Raw genomic sequence first — 23999 nt, forward strand, 5'->3', positions numbered from 1 at the left:
ATACTCTCTGGAAGTGAGGCATGTTTGAACTACTCACAACTCTCTTACATCCTTTTTGTCATTAAAAGAGAGCAAGTCCCTGGGAGCAAAGGGGAAGTCTATGTTCTGAAAAGTGAGCCAACCCAACTCTCCTGCTCACTCCTCCACATCTCCCTGGCACGGCATCGATGGCCACCCCTCTTATCTAGCAGTCAAGACCCAACTTGAGTTCCACCTCTGCCTCTGATTCTTCCTGAACTATCCCGCCTCTGTTTAGCTTCTCCCTGTTCTGGACTACCCGAGTCAAACTTTCTGTTCCTTGCTGAGTGCCACTTATTGTCATTGTTAGCCTTGAATTTGGAGCTAAGTTACAAAGCGTGTAATCATCTAACTTATCGAGTGCGTAATCGTGATTTTTCAACTGGATTGTGGTTTTCCTGAAGGCAGAAGACATGCCTCCTTCAGCGGTGGTCCTCTCTGTGCTTTACATTAACTAGTCATATGGTACCTGTTTGTTTGTTTATTTAAAAAGTGATGTCCAAGCAGAGCACACCCTTGTATGTTTTATCCCTGATAACACAAGCAGAGCCGAATGAGATCAGCATGTGTGTGTGTGTGTGTGTGTATACACACATATATATAGTATATATATACACACATATATGTACTATATATATACACATATATATACTATATATCTATATACATATATACATACATATACATATATATACACACATATACATATATACATACATACACACACACACACACACACACACACACACACACATACATACACGCTTAATGGAAAACCAGCCCTTGAACAAAATTGGGCATTTTGTAAGAGAAGCAGAGTATTGTCCCAGGTTCCTGGTTCTGCCTCTGGGAACCTGCATTGGTCATGTGAGTGTGTGTTAGGAAGCCCCTTCTCGGCCAATTCTGGACCACCTATTGCAGCAGGAAATACATCCATCTGCTCTTTTCCCTCAGGGAATGATTGCATTGCCACCACCTCCTTTCACCTCTTCAGATGCCAATTTTTTTCATCTTTTCTCAACATAGAGTTGGGGAAATATTTGTATTGGCTGAGTTGAGACTGGCTTATTTGACCCAGTTAACAGTGACCCAGTCATTCCGACATACCTGCTGAGGAACATAAGTAGCAGGAAAATGGACACCTCACCCCCTTTCACTGGAAGAATGTGGAATAATTCTTTGTGTTTGTCATGAGGGAAATGAAACCCCTGATCTGATATTCACTTAATTTTTCTTCATGGAGAAAGCTGTTGAATTCTTCTATTAGTAGGGTTAGAAAAGAAAGGGAAAAAAAAAAGGACTCTCCTGGAAATCAGGAGGCCTGGCTCTCACCCTGGCTCTGTGCCCAAGGCCTCCCCACCTGGTTCTTTCCATGGGACCACACACTTACACATTTGCACACCTGCCTGTCACTAAGTACCAAGCAATGGGTTCATTTGGATGCCAGTGTTTCCCTTGAAGACCACCCTGAAGTTCCTCCTGACAGTCATGCTTTCTACTTCAAATTATTGGGTGCAGGCAGACCAACATCTGAGGTACATGGTGTGTGTGTGCACAGAGGTGTCAAAGTTCCAGCTGGAGGGTCTGGGAACTGAGTTCTGTCCCACCCCATTCACTGATCAATGTGTGACCAGGAAAGTCCCTTAAGTCCCAGTGTTTGTTTCTATAGGTTGGAAATAATGACTCAGATAACCCCAACCCAGGAGTTTCTCCCAGGGCTCTTGTGAGAATTAAATGGGATCAGAAATGTGACTATATTTGGGAAGAAACGGATGTGAGGAAACAGTGGTGGCTATCAGAGCATCCTTGTGTGTGTTACCAAGAGGACAGGGCAAGCAGGAGATCCTGGCATCAGGTTCTAGCTTTGGCTGCCAATGATGTGATCTTAGGAAAGCCATAAGATCTCTCAGGGCTTCGCTCTCCTCATCTGTCAGATGGGGATTAAAATAACTGCCCTGCCTTTCCCACAAAGGTGTCGTGAAGATCTGAAACAATAGGCATGAAAGAGCATTGACAAATACACAACACCATCCAAGTAAGAAAGAGTTCACTGTTTATAGCAAGTCTGCTTGGACTGAAGGCCACTCATTACATGTAAGAAACTCACAAACTCACCCTCCTAAAAGAGAGTCCCAGAGGGAGAGATTATATGTAAATCACCTAGCTACTGCACCAGCATTTCTTCTGGAAGTTATGTCATTGAACCCAAGGAGCCCTAGCCTGGGAATTAAGGATGGAAGCTAGACATTTACAGGGAAAATTCACAATATAGCCAGTCTCTAGGGATAGCATATATTTTAGCAATATTATATCTGACTCAAATAAAACAATACCTTTCAAGGGCATGGTGTCACTTCTTCAAATTGTTGGATAGAAATGATCCATGTTTAAGAAGCTGTAAAATGGCAACTACAGACCATAACTTTAAAAACCTGTTTTGCAGGATTGTAACAAAAAAACACTGTGCACAATATTGGAAGTGTGGAGGAGAGAGGGTGCTAACATGAACATAAAGCAGACAGCAGGCACCACAGAAGCTCAGGAAGGGAAATCCTTGAGGACTGAAGAGGAGCCACCCCTATAGGCTGGAGGTCATGGGCACCCCCAGGGCACATACCCCACTAGTTGGTCCTAAAACACAGGCTGTACTTGGAAAAGTAGAAAGGAGGGAACTATGTCAAAGTGACATGTCATCTGGGTAGAGAGGTGAGCAGAAGGAAATAGCAAGTTTAATGACAGAATGGACCAACCCTTGAGACTGCATTACAAAACAGCCTGTCCCACTTACTACCCAAGACAAAAGAAGAAACATTAAAGAAAACTTTCATTTGAGTTCTGTTTAATAAGTACAGAGAACATACAAATTCAGCTTCTCTGATTGTTTTTGATAAGTCCCCACTATTGGTTCTAGATTTCTGGGAAGAGATGGGCATCTGTTGTTCTCATCAGAAGAATCCATGCACTTTTCCTAAATGCATGAAACCTCATCACCAGTGCTTGGTTGAGAAGATGGAGTACTAGATGGTTCATTACTGAACAAAGACAGGAAGAGAGTAAAGGGGCCAACGGCAGAATTTACTTTTTCAAATATTTGGAGGACCATACTCCCTGAACAAGAATGAAGTTATAGTGGAGGATGGAAGAGAAGACATTGACGCCAGAGTTCCATATTTATTGGCATAAAGAAATGATTACAATATATTATTAAATTTTAAATTACCTTATAAAACAGTATATACTATATGTTTTCATTCTTTGCAGAAATAAAAGTCTACTTATTACATGAATAAATACTGTTATGTTTTTTAAGTCTAAATCCATCAAGCCAGGAAACTGTGGAGAGTCTGTGGAAGACTTGCCTATGACTGAAATTGGCGATGGCTAAGCAGAGGAAGTTGGTCTTCATGCAAAATGATTTGAGAGGCATGGACCTCTCTGAGCAGAAGCAAATTGGCAGGGCACAGGGTGGACCATCTATGCCACTCACTCTTTAGGGATTCTACAGTGAGCACAGGGAAAGCCTTGAGGAAGAAATCTAGCCCATCACTTGATTCCCTGTTGTCAAATAACTGTGATATGGACAGCAAGTAGCTCCTAGGACCCCCATTTAGAGTCAGAGGCCTCTCCAGCCTGACCAGTCTTACAATAGCATAAATCATATTTTTATGTACATTTCAGCCTCACTGATGGAGTCTAGTCTTTGACAAGAGTCCAGAGGGAAAGAAAGACAGAAGTGCGTGAGTTTGATCCTCGAAGCCAAGTTACCTCCTGGGGCACCTGGAAGTCTCCTTCTGTGACTCCCCTGGGGTGGCTGAGTTCAGATCTTAGCAGTGGGAAGACCTGCTGTTGTAGTCTGATCCAGTAAAGGTCTGTAGTTGAGGAACAGAAAGAACCTGGTTCCCTTTGCTCCTGAAGTTGTTTTAGTCCTTCCCTAAGGAATCAGAGGCATTCCTTGGCCCAGTGATGTTTAAGGCTTTATGGAAACTCAATAATATGCCCTAACTGACTGCGCTGTCTCTTGATCCTCATTCATAGGTTTCACACTCAGCCTCCATTCTCAGAACACTCAGATGTTAAGCAACTCAGGTCTGGGGTGGGTCTTTCTTGGCAACTTCCTTTTTCTTCAAATGTTTAATCAATTCATGAGAGTATAGTTATAACTTTGGGAAAGGTCTTAGAAGTCCATTGCTAAAGCATGGTCATTTTGGCAGATGGGAAAATAATCTTTGAGAGTTAGGTAGCTTTCCCCAAATCACATAGTTGGTTAGTAGCAATGCTGGAACAAAAAACAAGTTTCCAAATCACTAACCCAGTGTTCTTTCTTACTACAGCTTCCTTTTAGTAGTTATATTTGTTGGACATTTGCTAAGAATGGTTAGAGAAAAGTATAATACATATCCCATATGCTCATGGCTATAAATCAAGTTGAATAAAGAAAATATACACAAGGGAAATGAGAGGGATCTTGTAATAACTCACGTAGCACTAACTAAAGATTTCAGAAAAGGGAGAGATCTGTGTGGATTGGGATAATTGGACTGGCTCTTTCTGTGGAAGGGAAGTTATTTTATTTTATTTTATTTTATTTTATTATTTTATTTTATTTTATTTTTTGAGATAGAGTCTCGCTCTATTTCCCAGGCTGGAGTGCAGTGGTGTGATCTCAGCTCAGTGCAAGCTCCACCTCCTGTGTTCACACCATTCTCCTGCCTCAACCTCCTGAGTAGCTGGGACTACAGGCACCCACCACCATGCCTGGCTAATTGTTTTTTGTATTTTTAGTAGAGATGGAAAACCAGACAGAGAAAGAGAGAGCTTGCAGAGATGGTGGCCTTCACATGGTGGGAAGAAGGGAGTCTGCTCACTTCCCATAAAGACTAGGAGATCTGTGGATCCATGGAGCTGATGACTGGAATGGACACCCAGGGAGACCTTTTAGCCTTTGCCCAATGTGAGTTCTAGTTTAGTGAGACTCCCCTGGTTGGGTGCTGATGACTTTTTAGAGGAGAAGGAAATGTGCAAAGATGAAGTTCAGGATCCAGGCATGAGATAAGAAGTATTGGATCTTATATAATCTACTTTAGATCATTTACCTTTTATTTGGAAACAATCATAGAATGTCTCATTTGGAGGGGTAATTACACAAGGTTTAATGCTGATTAGGTAGAGGGAATAGTTCTCTATATGGTATTCTTTCTGCTACAGCCTAAGTGACCATTGGACTCTCTTCTCAAGGGATTTCTGGAGTCAGTTTTGAAAGAATTAAGATGTTATATTTTAAAAATATATTACACGTCTAGCAAGTGGATGAGTGTGTTGTGCGTGGTCTGTGTGTCTGTGTGTGTGTGCATTGTCTGATTAATGAATGAATCCTGGCCCCTCACTACCTAGTTAATTTACTAAACCTCTCTATGCCTCAGTTTCTTTCCCATGAAATAAAGATAGTGACACTTACCTGGCAGGATTATCAAAAGAAGTAAATATTATTTTTTTAAAAAACTACTTTGTGCAGTGCCTAGCATATGGTATGCACCCAAATAATGTTAGTTCTCTTTCCTCTTTTCTATTGACAGTCACCTAGCAAAGAATAGCACTTTAGGGGACACTGGGCAGGGGGACACAGAAAGCTGGACGTTAGGGCACCACCTCAGCCTGAAGGGACAGCTCAGTTAGAAACTGGAGGTCATGGGCACAATAATGTGTGTGCAATGTGCTTCAGGCACAGGAAACAAGCAGTGCCCACAGGTCAGTGAATACGGTCAGAGCTTTGGTCCATATGACCATTTCACTCCTCTTTGCAGAGAACTGGGCTTTGCAAGGGGCCCATGGTAGCCAATAGGAGGTGACAATCCATCCACTAAAATGAAGGAAGTGGGAAGTGTGACGATGAGGAGAGGAAGAAACAAACTTCCCTGATTAGAACCCTTGGCCTTTGGAGGGTTCTTGTGCTTCCAACAGTCTCTTTTGTTAGGTGATTTGACAATGGAAGGCAGTACAATGGCAGAACTGAGTACACACAACCCCTGGTTTATGTAGTCAAAGAGGGAGATGAAAACTGAGCGCAGGGCTTCACTGTTGAATATCATTCCCCCAGCAAGACAATGCCTCGTTTGAATATTTGTTCTTAGTCACTATTTGTTTTTATTCTGAGCAGCCATTAACCTCCTACTATTTTTCCATCTTTTATAATAAAAATAGCAGTGTTGGAAAGGATAACAACACTCCCAGCACGGAACCCTCCCCGTACAGTGTTCTGCATGACAATGAAGGAATGAAAATGACAGACACTCCTGTGCAGAATGATAAGGCCACAGGGGCAGGCGGGACCCAGGTGACCGAATAAAGCTTCTGGTATAGGTTTTGGGAATTCGCCATTATGAAACCATCCTCCAAAGAACGTAGCTACAAAAATAATAGGTGATTAATTAACAATTGGGCAGGAATACTTCAGTCCCTAATAAGCTCCTTGCCCATGATACACAAATTGCTGAAACCCAGGGAGTCCCCTGGGGATGTGCATCCTAACAAAGGAGGCCAGGAGTTCTGACCACATTGCTAGAAAATACCCAGAGTGATCTAGGGGAGACAGAGCCCAAGAGAAGTCACCAACTGCAATTTCTCTGCAGCAGCCTCACACCCAGCCACTAATTTTCCACCCTGATTTCGGCTTTGTGAGTACACTTTGATATGTTCATGATTCCTGCACAGACCTGGACCGCATCAACCCAGCATTTGAGTCTTCCCAGTACAGGGTCTTGTGGATGCCAGGATAGTCTAGTAGACATGTGATCCTAAGATAGGATTTGATGGCCACATAGACATAGCCTCAGTCACCAAGGACTTACTGCCTGACCCTGAGTCATTAAATCTAACCTTAGGGGCAAGAGTTTGTCTGGGATTTTGATTTCCATGTATTAGCAAATCCTTTTGTACATTTTTTGTGCAATAAATAAATAGGTAAATGAGAGCCCAAAGGCCTATTTTGCCACCACAGATTTGCTAACTGTTTTCTACTCTTTCTGTCCTCCTCTAAATTCTCCTCATCCTTCCCTCACTCTCTGTAGATGAACTCCATCAACTTTTCTCTTTCACTTCCTCAAAACAATTATCTACCTCCTCTGAACTATAACCTTCTCAATATGGATTAGATAGACATAGGTTTGAGTCCTGACCCCAACATTTACTACCAAGGGACTGCAGGCAGGATCCTTTCCCTAACTAAGCCTCAGTTTTCCCATGCATACAGTGGAGAATATAGTACCCCCTCAACATGCTGTTGTGAAGGTTAAATGCAACAAATATTATTTTATAATTAATATTGTATTCCCAACATTGTTAACCAAATAACAGGAGCTTTTCTTTGAATGCAATCTCAGCTTGCCTACGTCCACTCTTCCCTTATCTTCCTAGGCCTTCTTCTATGATGGATATAAAAAGCCTTAGTCATACGTGAGAGGTATCTCAAAGGCATTCAACTTTCTCCAATCCTCCAGATGGACATGCTTTCTTTATTTCTGAAACACCAGGGGACTCCACACTATTCTTGTGACACTTACCTTATTCTATCACACTTCTCCGCCTTGTACCTGCTACTGGGTTAAAAAGATCTAGAAAACTGGAAACAGGTGACACAATATCCAGCCATGATATGACATCAATAAGTTTGTTTTGATCTGCATTATCTTAAAGCTTCCTGATTATTTGGGGCTACAATGACATTTAAGTTAATTGGATTCAAACTAAGAGGATGTGAATGTTGCTTAAGATCAGGGCATTTAAGCACTCATTATTGATGAGACCAAGGCTAGGGAATGGGTATGGAGATCCTGAGTGGACACTGAGGATGACAATAGTTTTAAAAAGAAAAGAAAGTGTGGCTTTTCCTCTCCTGGAAGGGGGAAGATGGATGGTGGCCACATAGACACAGGAAGGGCCAGTGTTAGTCTGGTCAACTTCTCACTGCCTTCAGTTCATCCCATGCTCATAATACTTACTCAGGGCTCCTGTGTCTTCCCTCAATGGCAGATAGTCCTTTACACCTAATATAACTTCATCCCCATCTCTGAGGGTTCTTCTGGGTTTAGGAGACCATTCCCTCGACTCCTTATTTCTCCCATCTCTGAATCACAGGGAACCCTATGGTCTGAACATCCCCCTACCCTTAACTGTAGATTGTCCCATATTGTTCTCTCTCTAAAGCATGAACCCTCAGAGGCAGACACCATATTTTCCCTTCCTTTGCTTGATTCATGGCCAGCCACAAAGCCGGTCCTTAAGAAATACTTGTTCCAAGACTGATGGGTTGAGAGTCCCACTTACAAATGGAGGTTATCCTCAATGATATAAGACACTGTCAGTCTGATGACTCTGAGATGTCAACAATAAAAACTGTTAACAAGTAAAGGGAAAAGCTGTAAGACCTATTTTATATTTTGTGCACTAAAAAGGCTGGCAGTTTAACTCAATTTCATCAGGAAATTTTGCAGAGCTTTGTTGTTGTTGTTGTTGTTTGCATGATTTTAAATAAGCTCCATCCATTAAACTGTTATGCACATGTGGATAGCACCAGTGGATTTCCTGCACAGAACCAAGAGCAGGGAAAACCTAAGCGCCACAGCAGTCCTTGGAATCCCTGAATTGTTAGCAGGTTTACTAACTGGCAGCCTGAAGGCAATCTATTTTATTAAGAGATTGAAAAATAGTTTAAAAAACCAGCACGTGAAGATTTCAATCAGAAATAGATGGGCACTTTTTAAACTGCAATTGGTTTCTAAAGAATGGGCAAGATAAGAATTGATAGAGGTGAATAGCTATCAAAACGTGGGGTGAAAAAATGAAGCAAATTGCCACCTACTTGAAGTGAATAGCTCTTGTAATGTAATGGGTTTTAAACTTTAAAATTGTTTTGTTCTCTGACATACATAACCATGGAAGGCTGGATTGAGAGTGTTTATTGGTTTTTTCCAATGGAAGGTTGCCTGTTTGGTATTTGAATAATAATCTCTATATAAAAATATGGTAATGTAATTATGCTAACTAGTATTTTCTATAATTCAAGACTCTGTTTATAATAATGTATCATATTTTGCAGTCAGGTAGGAATCCATTTGTCCCCTCCACCTGGGCCTGGAGATAGGAAGAGAAACTTTAATATACAGTTCTCTGCAATCAGGTCCTCTCTGGAGTTAGTTTCCCAGAAGATGATACAATAAATCTTACCAGAAATACCTTCATTTACCACATGCTGCCAAGTGGAGATGAAGCTGATTCTTCAAAATTTCGCAGATAAAGTTGCTTTGATCAAACTCACAGATGGAAACATGCTAGCAGGAAGATATTAGCCCAACTCAAAGGCAAAGGAAATGAGAGAGGAGCTTAAATTACTTTGGGGAAAAGGAATAGAATAGGTCAATTACATTTATTATTACACAGTGTGTTATTGAGAAATCTGTGCATGAAAAATGAGTATTTCATCAGCTAGTATTATAATATCACACACACCAAAATTTTAAGTTGCAGGATGGCTCTATACTAGATTGAGTTCTCTTTTAAATTGGCATGGTACTAAGACAATTTTGGCAAGACTGCTGTTCTTATTTTTACACTAAGAATAATAGCACTGATGGAGTCCCTTTAACCTCCCAGCTGAAGAGTTTGCCTTTGGCTGGGACATAAACTCCAAAAATACTGATTAATAGAGAAAGAGCAATCCACTGGATAGTGCCTAGTGGCTTGTCCCAGGACTCTATATCAACCTGTTCTGGTCAAGAGCCTTAATAACTAGGGTGAAGATACAAAAAGCAGAGTATACAAAACCACAGTTTAAGTAAAGTGGTAAATATATAGGAAGGTATGTTGCAATCCAAACTGGTTTCCATGGCTAGCAAAAGTGGGCCTGATTTAACCTATTAAAATGTACATGGATAAATATAAATTCCTATATTTAGGTTTCTCAAAAACTCACAATCAAAGAGCACAGGACAGGGAAGATGTGACTAAACAGCAGCATATGACATGCCAGAGGAGCTTTAAAAGCTTTGGAGCTCTATTACTATTAATAGAGCCCCAAAGACCATGACCAGACAGAGGGAGGTGATACTGAACGTAACACACTTCGAGTTTTGTGTTACATTTGGGGGTACCACCTTTTAATAAAGAAGTTGATAAATTGGAGTAAAATGTCCAGAATGGTGAATGAGCAGTGACTGAAAAAAATTACGTTGTTTATGTTAAAAAGAACAGTCTGTTTTCAAATAGGTTAGAGGCAATCAGGTCAATGTGCAAATGGACTTATTCTGGGTGATTCCAGAAAGCAGATGCAGTTCCAGTAACAGCATGGATCTATAGACCACCTTCTCTGTCCTTTGATGACCCCCAAGTTTGTATTTCTTAACTAGGGCAACAGTAATGGTAATTTATCCACAGAGGGAAGAGCTGGAAAGGAGGGAATTTAGAGAAAACCCAAGAACACTGCAGGTCAATCTTTACAGGAACAGAGACCAAACCCTTTCAAACAGTCTTCATTCCCTTTCCCTCTATCACTTCTTTCTTCTCTCATATCTCCTCTCCCTACAATTTTTTTCTCCTCATAAACGAGTCTTGAAAACAGTGAACTGACCAGGAAAAGTATGTTGATTCAAACCTCTTACAGCATCCTGGTTACCTTTCTATTTTTGTTCCATCACAGTGACAGGCGATTTGAGGTGATGATAAATCCACGCATTTAAAGCCTTGATTGCCTGAATAAATAGATTGGATAGCTTCAGTAATTGGATAATTAAAGCAGAAGCTGAGTAAGGATGGCTGGAGATTTCTTTCTTTTTTTTTAAGCCGAAACCAAAGCTGTGGGAGTAGAAAAGGTTAAAACCAAAAAACAATGCATATTCACATCAAAAGGTGGGTGCAAGGGAAAGGGGATAGAATTCCACTGAACTGAGATTCAAATGTCAAAGGAAGACACATTTGAACTTTGTCTCCCAAAGCATGTTGGTCCTCCGCTCAGGATTCTAGGTTGGGCCACACAGGAGACCAGAGACTGGAGCCCCTCTTCTGAATAAGCGCTCTTCCCACTGCCTGGCCCACCCCACTTCCCACACACACAGGCACGTATAGATGTACGCGCTAATGGACGCACGCATGAGTGCGCATCCCTCTGCTTTGCCCTTTATTTTCATCTTTCCATTTCTCTCCGATTTTTATTGCCCTTTCAACATAGTGCTTGAAGCCTGTGGTTGGACTCCCAAATCTGTAAAAAGCTACCAGAGAGGGAATTCACTAAGGCACTCCTCCTGTCTGTACACCCAAGGGAGCAGGAAAGAAAGCAGGGCCAAGGTGCAGGCACATCCTTGTTTCCAGATGGTGGAAACCAGCCTCATAGAGAGAGTCATGCACCCAGGACCCCACTGCCAGACAAGGAAGTTAAGCTGTTTTCTCTGCTTGTGGAGAGTCAGATGAGCCTCTCTCCTGGAGCCAGGCATGCCCAACCAGCACCAGATCACTGCACAGAGCCCCACCTCCTTCAAGCCTCGCATCTGGGAGTGGCCCATCCGCTCCAGCTGCTAGCCACCCTCATGTCATGCGGTCTATCATCCCCATGCACACCAGCCTGCACTGGAGGTGGTTAAGTGGTGGCCATGCAAGAACTCGGTCACCGCCCTCCAGCCGCACCAGCAGTTGTTGTGTTGTGTGCTTACTATGCACTGCCTAAGCTCCAATCTCAGCAGGCAGTTGTGTTGAGTGCTCACTATGTCGGACGCTGTGCTAAGCACATCCTCGATGTCTTGGCCCTCAAAAATCACTTGTTGTTTCCCATTTTGTTGATAAGAAAATTGAAACCTGAAGAGGATAATTAACTTCTTGGCAGATAATAACTCCAAGTATGAGGATTCATATTCATACTGAGCAAAATACATGCTCTTAATGTATGCGATACCCTGCTGTCTTCCAAAGGCCTAGAAATCTTGGGTTATAAATATACTTACCCCCTTGACTTCCTATTGCCCTTCTATCTACAGTCATACATCCAACAAAACATTTATTAAGCCCTTACTATATATGAGGGTCTGTGCTTGGACTGAAACTGTAGAAGGGAACATCAGAATGGTGATCTCAACGACATGGAGAGGCAAAAATAAAGACTTTCAGTAAGTATACAATGTAGTAAGTTCTTAACTATGGTAGGTACTCAGCGAATATTTGTTGGATTTGATTGATTAAATTATTTTAATTAAACCTCCACAAATCATTCCCCTGAGAGCAGGCAGCCATTCAGCATCTCTCTGCATGACTGGTTGAGGCAGGATGAGGGGGTAGGGTGGGATTGGAGTAAGGAAGTCTCTTCTATTCCTATTGCAACCACAAGCTGGCCTGAAAAATACAAAGAAATATTTTTTATTCCACAGCTAGCAGAATTTACCTCCTGTTATCTGTATCTACACATACAAACTAGTTCGAGAGGGTTCAGGGGAAAGTTAAAGAAAGGCTCAGTGTGTGTTTGGGTGTTCATACATGTGTGTGTGCAAGAGAAAGAGCAAAAGTGAGAGCAAAAGAGAGAGAGAAGGAGAGAGATCTTTGTTTAAGACTGTGTTTAAGATGATTTATAATAGCCAAAGCAACTGTTTAAAACAAACCTATCCCGCTAGAGGCTAAACAATTCCATTTCTACTCAAACAAACTGTGAATGAATTGTGTCCCTCAGAAAGGAAACCAGGAATAAAAATATCCTAATGATCTAGCAAGAAAGTTGAAATTAAAGCCTTATCTATATCTATGATAGGAAAATGGACAGGAATACTGGCCATCTTCCTGTCATTTAAGAATTCCTGTCCATATAAGAATTCATCAAGGAGCTGTGGGGGACATACATGTAGTTCATTATTCCCCATATCAGGCATTAGGCACTTTCTGAACAATATCTCCTTTAATTTTCCCAGTGATTCTCTGTACCTCCAATGTTACCTAGGGCCTATAACCTGTCAAGAGTAAGAGAAGACAGTGGCAGCCCTGGTATTAAAACCCAGACAGGCTAGACATGATAGATTATGCCTGTAATCCCAGAACTTTGGGAGTTCCAAGAAGGGAGGATCACTTGAGGGCCGGAGTTGGAGACCAGCCTAGGCAATATGGCCAGGTGCCATCTCTATAAAAATAAAAATTAAAAAATTAGCTGGGCATGGTGCACACCTAGCTACTTGGGAGGCTGAGGAGGGAGGATTGCTTGAGCCCAGAAGTTTGAGGTTACAGTGAACTATGGAGGCACCACTGTACTCCAGCCTGGGCAACAGAGCAAGACTCTATCTCTTAAAAAAAATGCCAGGCAAAGTTGCCTGGTTTGCTTGTCAGATTTCACCATGTTGTTAACTTAGATACTAACCTGGTTACTAAAGGATTAGCTAAGGCATTTGGCTCTCAGAGAAGTGTTCAGTAAAAAAACTCTACTGATTCTCATGCTATGTATATATTCTGATTTTTTTTTTGTTTTCTTTTTGAAAAACTGTCAATGAACAGCTATTTATTGCACATCTACAATATGTTTGGCACCATGGTAGGTGTTGAGGATTCATGGAGGAACACAACCAACCTGTTTCTTGCTCTTATGATGCTCACAGTCTAGTGAGGAAGAAATGCCAATGAAATAATTACATATAATTAGCTAAATAATTATACACTGGTCTCTGCTCTGCTGCACTAAGGAAAAACACGAAAAAGAGTTTTGCCCACATTTGGTGGAGAGTTTGGAAGGGAATGGCACCACATCCACATCAGCACAGTGTTGGGGGTGAGGGAGACACAGGAATCCCAGTTTGCAAGAACCCAACAGAGAAGAGACCACTCCAGGGAAAGACTTGACACCAGTTGGCCTTTTACACCTGGAAAGTCTTCCCTCAGGCTCTACCCTGCACAGAGCAATCCTTGGAGACTCTATGCTTTTTTTCTCATAAGTAAGACCATTTCCTTACAGGAGAGTAATTCAGCATTGGAAAGCTAGTTGCAGTGCCCTGTGACTGGTTTAACTGAGTGTTTCCCTTTTGCATGAATTGCTCTGGCATTATTTAAGCCCAGTCATAATATTGTGGTTCACCGGAAGCTAAAAAGAGGCCTGTGTAGGTTGATCAAATCATGATCTAATGAAAATGGATGGCTGGCTCTTCCAAAGGAGTATGAATATGGGCCACCTCTGGGCAACTTAGCCCTAGAACCTTGCTATGCAAACACTGTTTCAGAGAAATCATTTTTCAAGTTTTTTTTTTTTTAATTTTCTTCATGACATCTGGACTAAATCCAGCAGTGTTGCTCTGTGACTTTTTCCAACATATACAGAGAACCCCATGTGGCTGTCCTCTAACACTCCATTCTCCACTACCCCCACCTCAGCCAGGTTTGTCAACAGACACTTACTCCAAGACCATAGAGATGAGAAGTTGGGTAGTCTGGGTTTCCTTTCACTCCTCACCAGCAGAGCTGTTCCAGCTTGTTGGAAATCAGAACGTGTCTCTGGGTGCCAGACCACATGTCCACATCAGCAGTTTAGTGGAAGGTGAACCCAGTAAGCCTAGGCAGGGGGAGGCAAACCTACCAGAGGACATGGGCTGAAGACTACAGCTTTAAAAGTGTGTTCCTGACTTAGTAGACAGAATTCCAAGAATGAGACATTCCTAACTGGAGTCCTGGCACTATCACTTACAAGGTACATGACGTTTGGAAAACTGATCTCTCTCAAAGCTTCCATTTTCTCATCTGTAATGAGGGGAGTAATAGAACTTACATAAAAAATAAAGCACTTGGAGCAACCCAGAACACAGAGACATTATGCAATAAAGGGAAACGGCTGTTGCTATTGTCACTTAAGTCATAGGTGAGAACCTACCAGGAATTGAGACACTTTGAGTCCTTAGGTCTCAGTCCAGCATTGCTCTAGGACTCAAATGCCGGGAGAATAAAAAGACAATAAACAGCATCCTCCCTGAGGATCATCCAGGCTGCCGTGTTCGTGCTTCATTGTGTTTTGATCTGCCATTGACTGACTTCTCTATTTCTGGTCTCCTATTTTTGCCCAATCTCTGGAGCTGAACTGTGGATTTGAAACCATCTGACTGCTTCTGCCTGCTCCCAACTGTCCCTTCCCTCGGACAGCCATGCCCTCTCTTTTTCCACTTTGGCTGTCTTTGACTGCATTCTACTTATGCCAATGTTCCAGCCTCACTGCTCAGAAAAATAACAAGGTGCCTTTTTAAAATGTAGTTTTACATAATTTTTCAGCTTGGGAAATGCTAAGAAATGGCTCTTTCAAGCAGAGATTCCAAGGATAAGTCTACATGTGCCCTCTTGTGGAGGGGCATGATATTCAAATGATTTGGAAATGGAATAAAATCCAAACGGGCTGCCATTTCTCTGCCCTCACACTCCCCTTTTCTCCACCCAGTCAAAACCCTAAAAGAAGAATGCCATAGCCATTACCCAGGACCGCCATGGATCTTGGCTTCAGGAGACAGGGTGAGAGAACACTCCTAAGTGTGGGACCACCAGTGCTTAGTGCTGGAAGGGCAGTAAGACAAGGAGGCCTAGGAGGAATCTGGTCTGTTTGGCTTCAGTGAGAGAGCCAAGTTCAACTTTTCTCTGTGTTTGTGTGCATGCACACGTGCACGCATGCCCATACATGTGTGTTTGTGACATCTACATGGATGGATGCCAGAGGGCAAGGAGGTACTCTGGCCACAGAAACCAGGAATGAGGAAGCATTTTAGGTTTAATCTTGGCTTTCCTTCCCAGCCCAGATGAATTTAGGAATTTGCTCTCTCAGAAACAATATGAAGCATGCACTGCATTTGGGGGCCTCCAGTGCATTTTCAGGGCTAAAGAAATGAAACGAGAAGATTGAAGAGGGAAACTTTATTTTCTAATGTCATCCCTTGGCATTTGATTTGGGATTCTGTTAATTGCTGAACAAGGAGAAACATGAAAAAAGTAGACAACAGACCCCGGAGTGCTATTAGTGATGGGAGTGTGACCTGGGAGAACTGGCTGTCCTATTCCAGGCTGACAAGGAAGATGTATCATATCTGGCTTGTTGTGGAGGAAAAACTAGCCTTTCCTAGCTTTTACCAACACAATTTCCCGTACCTGAGAAGGAGCAGAGCATGCAGATCCAAGTTTGAATACTGGCTTTGCTCCTTACCTGCTATGTGGTCTTGGGCAAGTTATTTAACTGATGTGAGCCTCAGTTTCCTTGTTGATAAAATGAGGATAGGACTATTCAAAGGCTTTGTGGTAGTATGCTAGCACTGCCATCACAAAGTGCCGCAAACTGGATGGCTTAAATAACAGAAATTTATTGTCTCACACTTCTGGTGTCCAGAAGTCAGAGATCAAGGTATTGATAGAGTTCATTCCTTCTGAGACTGTGAGGAAGATTCTGTTCCATGTCTCTCCTCTTGCTTCTGGTGGTTTGCTGGCAATCTTTGACTTTCGTTGGCATGTCAAGGCATCACTCAGATCTCTGCCTTCATCCTCACACAGTATTCTCCCTTTGTGTATGTCTCTATATCCAAATTTCCTCTTTTTATTAAGACACAGGTTATGTTGGATTAGGAGCCCACCCTACTCCATTATAACCTTATCTTAACTCATTACATCTGGGATAAACTTATTTCCAAATAAGATTATACTCTAATATATTAAGAGTTAGGACTTCAACATATGAATTTTGGGAAGATACAATCAATTCATAAAAGGCTTGTCAGAAAAAAAAGTGAGATGTATATAAAGCTTAATTACAAATTAAGTGTTCCATAAAGGAAGCTACTATCACTATTGTTATTGTTTGCTAAGCCTTCATTTGCTAAAGATTTATCTTTAACTAAGTCAGGTAGCTAGAAAAAAATTCCCTCCTGTATACATCAACCATATTGTCTAGGTTGCCCAGGATGTGTCTGTGCATGGGGATTGGCAGGTGCTAGGTTGTTGAAGCTTTTAGACTGTGTCTACACAATGTCAATATGTGGGCCAGCTGTGCACATATGTATGGTTTTATATGTGCATGTTTTGAAAACTATTTGGGAAAGTCTCCTTGCTCCAAAGTCTAAACCCACTGAAATTTAACCATGAGATTTATCCTTGTTTCAAATTAACAGTTTCCCCAGTATATTAGTTGGCAGTGTAGGTTCACTGAAGGGGAAGGGGAAGGTGAAGGTTTACATTCTGAAGATTCACTGAAAATCACTGACAAGAGGCAAACTAATAGGAGAAGAGGCATATAAATGTGTGTGATCATAGTTTTCCATGACTTGTGAGCTTTCAAAATGAAGACCCAAAGATGCAGGGAAAACTGTCTATTTTTATGCTTAGGTTCAGCAAAGTAAGGATAACTATGTAGAAATACAACTGGACAAAAAAAGGCATCATCTGATGCTAATGGACTGATTGGGGATGCCCAGTAAGGCCTGTCTGTCTAGATTCTTCTTGGCCTCTTTGAACACACAATCTTTCCGTGGATGTGTGGCAGAACTGTCTCTGGAATGGGGGTCTTATGACCTACAGTCAAAGAAGATAGGTCAGATAATTTCTTGATGGCCATCTTGATTTACACAGAAAGGCAGTGGGGGTGGGGGAAGAGTTAGAGTAATCTTTGTAGGTTTTATGGCTGGATTGGGGGAAATGGAGTTCTAGTTTCTGTGATCTTCTGTAGGGCAGAGGGGTTCTAGTTTCTATGGCTAGCCTTGGGAAGAATGAGAGGCAGAGAGAGGAGGGCAGGTCAGAGAAAGACTTTTGCTTCTGAGGGATTTGTTTTGGGGTATGTTTTTCTGAGACCCTACATCAGTCACTCAGATCTCATTTTGAATAAGGGTGTAAGGCATTCCCTCTCTTCATTTGAAATAATAATAGTCAGCTGGGTGCAGAGGCTCTTTGAAAGGGAAGGAGAAAGAAGCCTATCCAGAGTAGTCTTTTCCATAATCCAGGCCTTAGGGAGAGAAAACAGGTGCAATTAGCAGTACAAAATTCCTGGAAACACACATGGAGAGTGGGTCCCTGGAAAAAGTAAAGAGGACAAGGGAGAAGAAATGGAAGCACAGTAGAGTAACCATTACCAATGCTGCAAATTTGTTTCTATCATAAAGAAAGTTTGGATCCTCTGTGGAACCATCAGCAATGTATCTGAAGGCAGACTTTTGTGCGTGTACTGAAGAACCAACTGGAAGCCCTGTTCTAAGGTTTTCTGAGGTGTTAACAGCAATCCTAGAGATAAGACAAGTTGAGAGCTCTGGCTAGGGAGTCTGGAAGCTGAAGCTCTGCTCCTGCTTTGTGGCAATCTTGTAGGTTTTCTTATCTGTAAAGTGAGTGGATGCACTACCTTCTCCCTGTGGACCCTGCCAGTTCTGACATACTTTGATATTCTGATCCTGGCTCAGACCCCACTCCAGCCCCAAAGTCAGTAAGAAAGAAATTCTGCTGAATTCTGTCATGAAGGATAATGCTATCCCCAGCATAGGTTTCTTCCTGGCTGGATCTGAAATAGGTTTTCAGAAGGGGGAAAATAAAGAAGAAAAGATGATCTGTCCATATTTAAAAAGGAGTGAGTTGCCGTTGGATGGAAACCTGAACTGGGCTTGTGCATGCCTGTCTTTGAAGTGTGGAAAGGCACTATCATGTGAGTGAATATGATGAATTAGGCTATTTGATTAAGCAGGATGAAACTGGTGAGCCAGCTTTCTCTATTTCATTTTATCTAATGGCTGTAATCAGAAATCATGCCATCATCTCTTTAAAAGTGGGAGCCAGTGGCGAGCCGCACAGGTAGGTGTGCATCGACAGCTCTTTTTAAAGCTACTTCTCTCAGGGAGCCTATGAGAGGTGGAGAAAGTGGAGAGGTCTCTACCAACATCAAAGTCATTAGATCACGTTGTCAATTCAGCTAATAGCCCATTGGTTCAATTTCCTTTTGTAAACTTGGATTTGATAGCCAGTATCTAATACAATGACTGGTACCAAGTAATGTGCTTCGAAAATATTTGTTAAATGAATTAATGAGTGAATGGAACTATGAAGGAATGCAAAACAAATGGATGATGGGAATCTTGTAGGTAAGGGAGTAAATGTGCAGATGTTTAACTCTTTGTGGCAAATTGACATGCTTTTTTTTTTTTTTTTTTTTTTTAAGACGGAGTCTTGCTCTGTTCCCCAGGCTGAAGTGCAGTGGCACAACGTTGGCTCACCGAAACCTCCGCCTCCCAGGTTCAAGCAATTCTCTTGCCTCAGCCTCCCAAGTAGCTGGGACTACAGGCATGCACCACCATGCCTGGCTAATTTTTATATTTTTAGTAGATATGTGGTTTCACTATGTTGGCCAGGCAGATCTCGAACTCCTGACCTCATGATCTGCCCGCCTCAGCCTTCCAAAGTGCTGGGATTACAGGCGTGAGCCACCAAGCCTGGCCTGACACCATTTTTGATAGGACGTAAGAGACATTTGTGATGGAGGATCCAACTGTTTATTCTTTAGTGATAAAAACAAAGATGCCTACATTTGAGTCTGTGGTGGTCTTTTCTTCACTTGCTGTGTAAACTTGGGGAGATTGCCCAATCTCTCTCTGCTTGTTTTCTCATCTTTAAAACAAGAATAATAAGAATACCAACCTAGCTCATAGGAATGATTGAAAGATTGAATGAGTAATATGTGCAAACATTAATTGAAGTTAGTGGCCCAACAAGCTACAGATTAGGTTAGATGAGAATAGAGTTGGCCCTATGCAGATATCACAGATGGAGTAGGCAGTTGCCTTTATGGCATGATATCAAGAGGCAGATGAGGCCCTTCCCTCCCAAATATTATCCCACTAACCTGTAGTGTGCCTAAAATTCCTACTCTTAGAATTCTCTTTGAGCTAAAGAAAATGCCTAGAGAAGCCACATTAGTAACACGTGGAAAGGAACACTTTCAGGAAAGTGGTTCTTTTGGGAAATAACCACTGATTATTCTACCTTCAGAAGGCAGAGCAGTAAGCAAAGACATTAAAGCCTTGGCTTTGGAGTCACTGGGTTCTAACTTAGGCTATATAATTTTCTCCAAAATCTTAGTGTTCTCCATTATAAAGGATTAATGATATTTACCTCTTGCTGTCACCATGGGGATAATATGAGATAATGTAAGTGAAACCCCTGGCACACAGGGTTCACGCTCAGTTAAAGAGTGTGATTATTGTTAATATAATTGTTCTCTCATTGAATATGTTCAGAAGATCATTGTTATGGATAGAATGTTTGTGCCCTCCTCATTCATATGTTGAAGCCCTAACCCCATATATGATGGGTTTTGGATTTGGAGCTCTTGTGAGGTGATTAGGTTAAGATGTGGTCATTAGGGTGGAGCCCCTATGATGGGATTAGTGTCCTTATAAGAAGAGAAAAAGACCAGAGCTCTCTCTTTCCACCACATAAGAACACAGTGAGAAAGTAGCTGTCTGCAAGCCAGGAAGAAAGCCCTCACCAAAGACCCAACAATGCTGGCACCCTTGTCTTAGACTTCCAGCCACCAGAACTGTGAGAGAAACTGTCTTTTGTTTAAGTCATCCAATTGATGATATTTGTTATAGCTGCCCAAGCTGACCAATACAAACATGAAAAGCAGATCTATCTATCAATACTATTTGGAGTAGTATCAGCATTATTGAAATAGCTTCAGCTCCCAAAATGTCCACTTTAAAGGACACAACTCATCTTCTTGCAGCCCTTTCCCCACCTCGCACAGGTCTGTGCAGTATTGACTGGTCCACACTATAGGTGACTACTGAAATGAATAGGGGGTTAGGGAAGACCACTGGAAAGAAGTAGTCCCAAAATGGGGCTCAGCAAGATGAATAGGACAGAATAGGAAATGGGAAGAGAGGTCATTCCTGCTTCCTTGTGACTGTCAGCATTTTCATGAGCCCTCGGCTTCCTATCTCCTTCCCTCTCCCCCTCCCCACCCTGCTTCTCATCCCCACCTCCACTTTGTCCTAAAAGAAGCAGAGGAAGAGAGACTCATTCTCCTCTGGAAACCTGTTTTTGATTCATTGATTTGGTCTCAGCACTTTCTAGTTTGGGATGTTGGGAGGCTGCTTCATGTGCTTGTTCTTTGGCCATAGCTCCTGGTGGGAGGGATGGGGGGTGGGGGTAGTCAGTCACCTCCCCTGGGAGCTGCCCAGACTCAAGGAGGGAGTATCAAGCTAGAAAATGCAAGGGCACACAAATTCTAGCCTTTTGCTGGTTTTAGAAATCATCTTTCTCTTTTGATGACAACCTTACCTGGCTTCTTTGCCCCAAGCTAGCATCAAGGACACCACTCTGTGTGGAGACAGTGACCTCCGGATAACCAGGTATTCCGCTTTCACTTTTCCAAAGTGAAGATGTGAAGCCAGAGAGGAGAGGAGAAACAGACACATACAAAACAATTCAGTGCACTACCATGTTTGGGTTGCTGCAGAGAAAGGGGTTAAATGGGTATTTTCTTCTCATATCTTACTGAGATCACTTTATGACTCCAATCTCAAGGGAAATGAGCAGTTTGCACATTTACTGTTTCCTATCAGTCGACCATCTGTAGGCACCACCTTTCACAAAGAGCTTATACATTAACTGGTCACTTTATCATTGTAATATATTTGAAAAATCAAAAACCAGCTGCTATAAAGCTATAAACTGAGGATTTTATTACATATTGTTTATCATTGCTTTAGTATTTGGAGATTCATAATGCATGGACTTTGAGATCTATCTGTATTGCCAAGGAGGCCGAAGTTTATTTCCCTAATAATATGCAAATGGAGCCTTTATACCAGATAATGAATAATCACTAGATTAAAGCCTGAATTTTCTTTTAGTGGTACTGGCAGTGCAGCCTTTTGCATGCAGTTAATAATTAATTTAAAGAATTACCACTTCAGTGAGCCCTGCTTACATTATTTATTAAGTGTAATTAAAGTATTTATTAGTCAAGTAATAAATGAGGGACAACCCTCTGCACCTTAACAGTGTTGTAAAATAATCACAGACTATGTTTATCTGCAAAACAAGACTGAGTATGGCTCAAGTGTGTTAATAGATTATCCATGATCATTGCTGTGTTATCAGCATACCTCAGCAATGAGTGTATGACTGGCACACCCACCTGCTTCTATTCTAGGCAAAAAGGGTGCCTTGGCTTTTTATTTTTGTTGATTTGTATATGTTGATTTAGAAGCAAAATAAAGGGGATTTCTTGGTTCAAGCTTACATCCCTTCCCAAAATCTACCATGTTGCTTGCAGCTTAAACAGCTAATCCAACATTGTGACCTTAGAATTTCTGAAAGGCTGCTGAAAGCATTGTCAAGAATTAAGATGCCTATATAATTCATTTCTCAAACCATGACAGTTTGTACAATGAAAGAAGGTTAATTAATAATATGTAAACTGGGAGAGCTCTAGGTAAACCAGAAATTAGCATGGACTTTTTCCAGAAGTTATCATGGCCTTTAGATGGGTTGTTTTCAGTAATGAAAACACATGAAATGATTTGAGAAAGAAATGACATGAGAATCAGCTTCTACTAACTGCCACTCCACATGCAGAATTTTAGATAAAACCTAGAGCTCTGCCTTCCCTCAATTTCAAGTCCTGTTGCTCTGCGCAGACTCTTCCCCAAAAAACCTGCCCTTGTCCCTCCATCCAGAAGTGACAGCTCCTCCCTCTAACTCCCACCTCATTGCTTACTCTTCTCTGGGTGCATATCTCACTGGCTTGCAGCATCTTCATTCATGTATTTATTTTTAACTCCACTCCATGAAGAGACTGCAAATTCTTTGAGGAAAGAGACAGACTGTATTTGCAGATTTTTAGATCTTCAAACATTTTTACCCTGGTGCCTTGCTAAAAGTAGGTACCCAGTAAATATTTACTAAATAGATTTATAGTTGGAAAGCACAATCACTTTCCTTTCTGATCAGGAGAGAGAGTAAAATTTCAGTCCAGGATCACTGACCGGAATCTGTAACAGAGCAGATGGGCATGTGGAGCGGACATAAGCAGAGGAAGGTGCAGCCAGCAGGTGGCCATCCCAAAGGGCATTCAGGTCAGCTGTGAGAATCACTCAAGAGTGGGATTTAACTGGCAAATCAATGAGCAAAGCCTCAAAGCCCATTCCAGGCAGGCCAGTGCTTCATCTGCCCTGCAGTATATTGCCTGAGCATCTTTTTTCTTTGAGTCCTTTGTCTGGACAGTTCACCATCCTGTGCTCTTCAGACAAACAAGGATAAAGACTATGAAAGAGCATATAGATTGAGACTTTCCAAAGGTTAGTGGAGGGTGAGGGGCAATTCTGCAAATCCCACTTCTTCACCTATGAGAATCTCACCTATCCCACATTCCACCTCCTCTCTGAAGCCTTCTCCTGACCCCAACTCTGACCATTTCCAAAACACATTGTTCATACCTCTCATTTGGATCCTTGGCATCCTTGGGTTACTCTGCCTCATACACATAAACTTCCTGCGCCCGGGGAAAGACGATGGAGTCTCCTTTTCCTACATCTTCCCCCAGTGCTGGACACCCAGTCAGGCCTCAGCAAGTGCAGAAAGGGAAAATCAGACCTCACCCAGTTTTCCCTGACCCCTTCTTTCTCCTAACTGCCTGCTTGCTTCACTCACTTCCCAGAATCCCATCTGAAGGGTGTTTCCACTTACCAAATGATACCATCATATTAAGAAGAGAAGGAGTTGATGGGGCGTAAAAGTTAAAGGGGCTGAGTGGCATTCAGGAAAACAAACCCCAAGAATCAAACTTAGTTTTAATAGCAGCCAGCACTACTAGGCCCAAAACGTGTGGGCTTATAAACTGAATTGTCTTTGGGCCTTTTTAGAGAGCTGTTTCTAGGCGACCAACAGATTGGTCATAGATCATGTGTGCTCCAGCCTCATGCTGCAGAAGCCTCCTTCTGACCTCTTAATCAAGCTGAGAGCTGGGACACAGAGAAGAG

General features: G+C 42.0%; 1 protein-coding gene and 1 long non-coding RNA gene across 8 annotated transcripts in view; one reads left to right on the forward strand and one right to left on the reverse strand.

Annotated features, from left to right (window-relative positions):
- The window catches only part of SLC14A2 (solute carrier family 14 member 2), a 515726-nt gene that overhangs the window by 257999 nt on the left and 233728 nt on the right, over positions 1 to 23999 (forward strand). The window lies entirely within an intron of this gene.
- Positions 1 to 23999, reverse strand: part of SLC14A2-AS1 (SLC14A2 antisense RNA 1) — a 142177-nt gene that overhangs the window by 61075 nt on the left and 57103 nt on the right. For all 3 annotated transcript variants that reach the window (XR_007066352.1, XR_007066350.1, XR_007066351.1), the window contains 3 exons: positions 21295 to 21379; positions 10682 to 10757; positions 9238 to 9364 (listed from right to left, as the gene is read on the reverse strand). This is a non-coding gene — a long non-coding RNA (SLC14A2 antisense RNA 1). The remainder of the gene's footprint in view (positions 1 to 9237; positions 9365 to 10681; positions 10758 to 21294; positions 21380 to 23999) is intronic.

Source organism: Homo sapiens, chromosome 18 (assembly GCF_000001405.40).
Source record: "Homo sapiens chromosome 18, GRCh38.p14 Primary Assembly".
Lineage (NCBI taxonomy): Eukaryota > Metazoa > Chordata > Mammalia > Primates > Hominidae > Homo > Homo sapiens.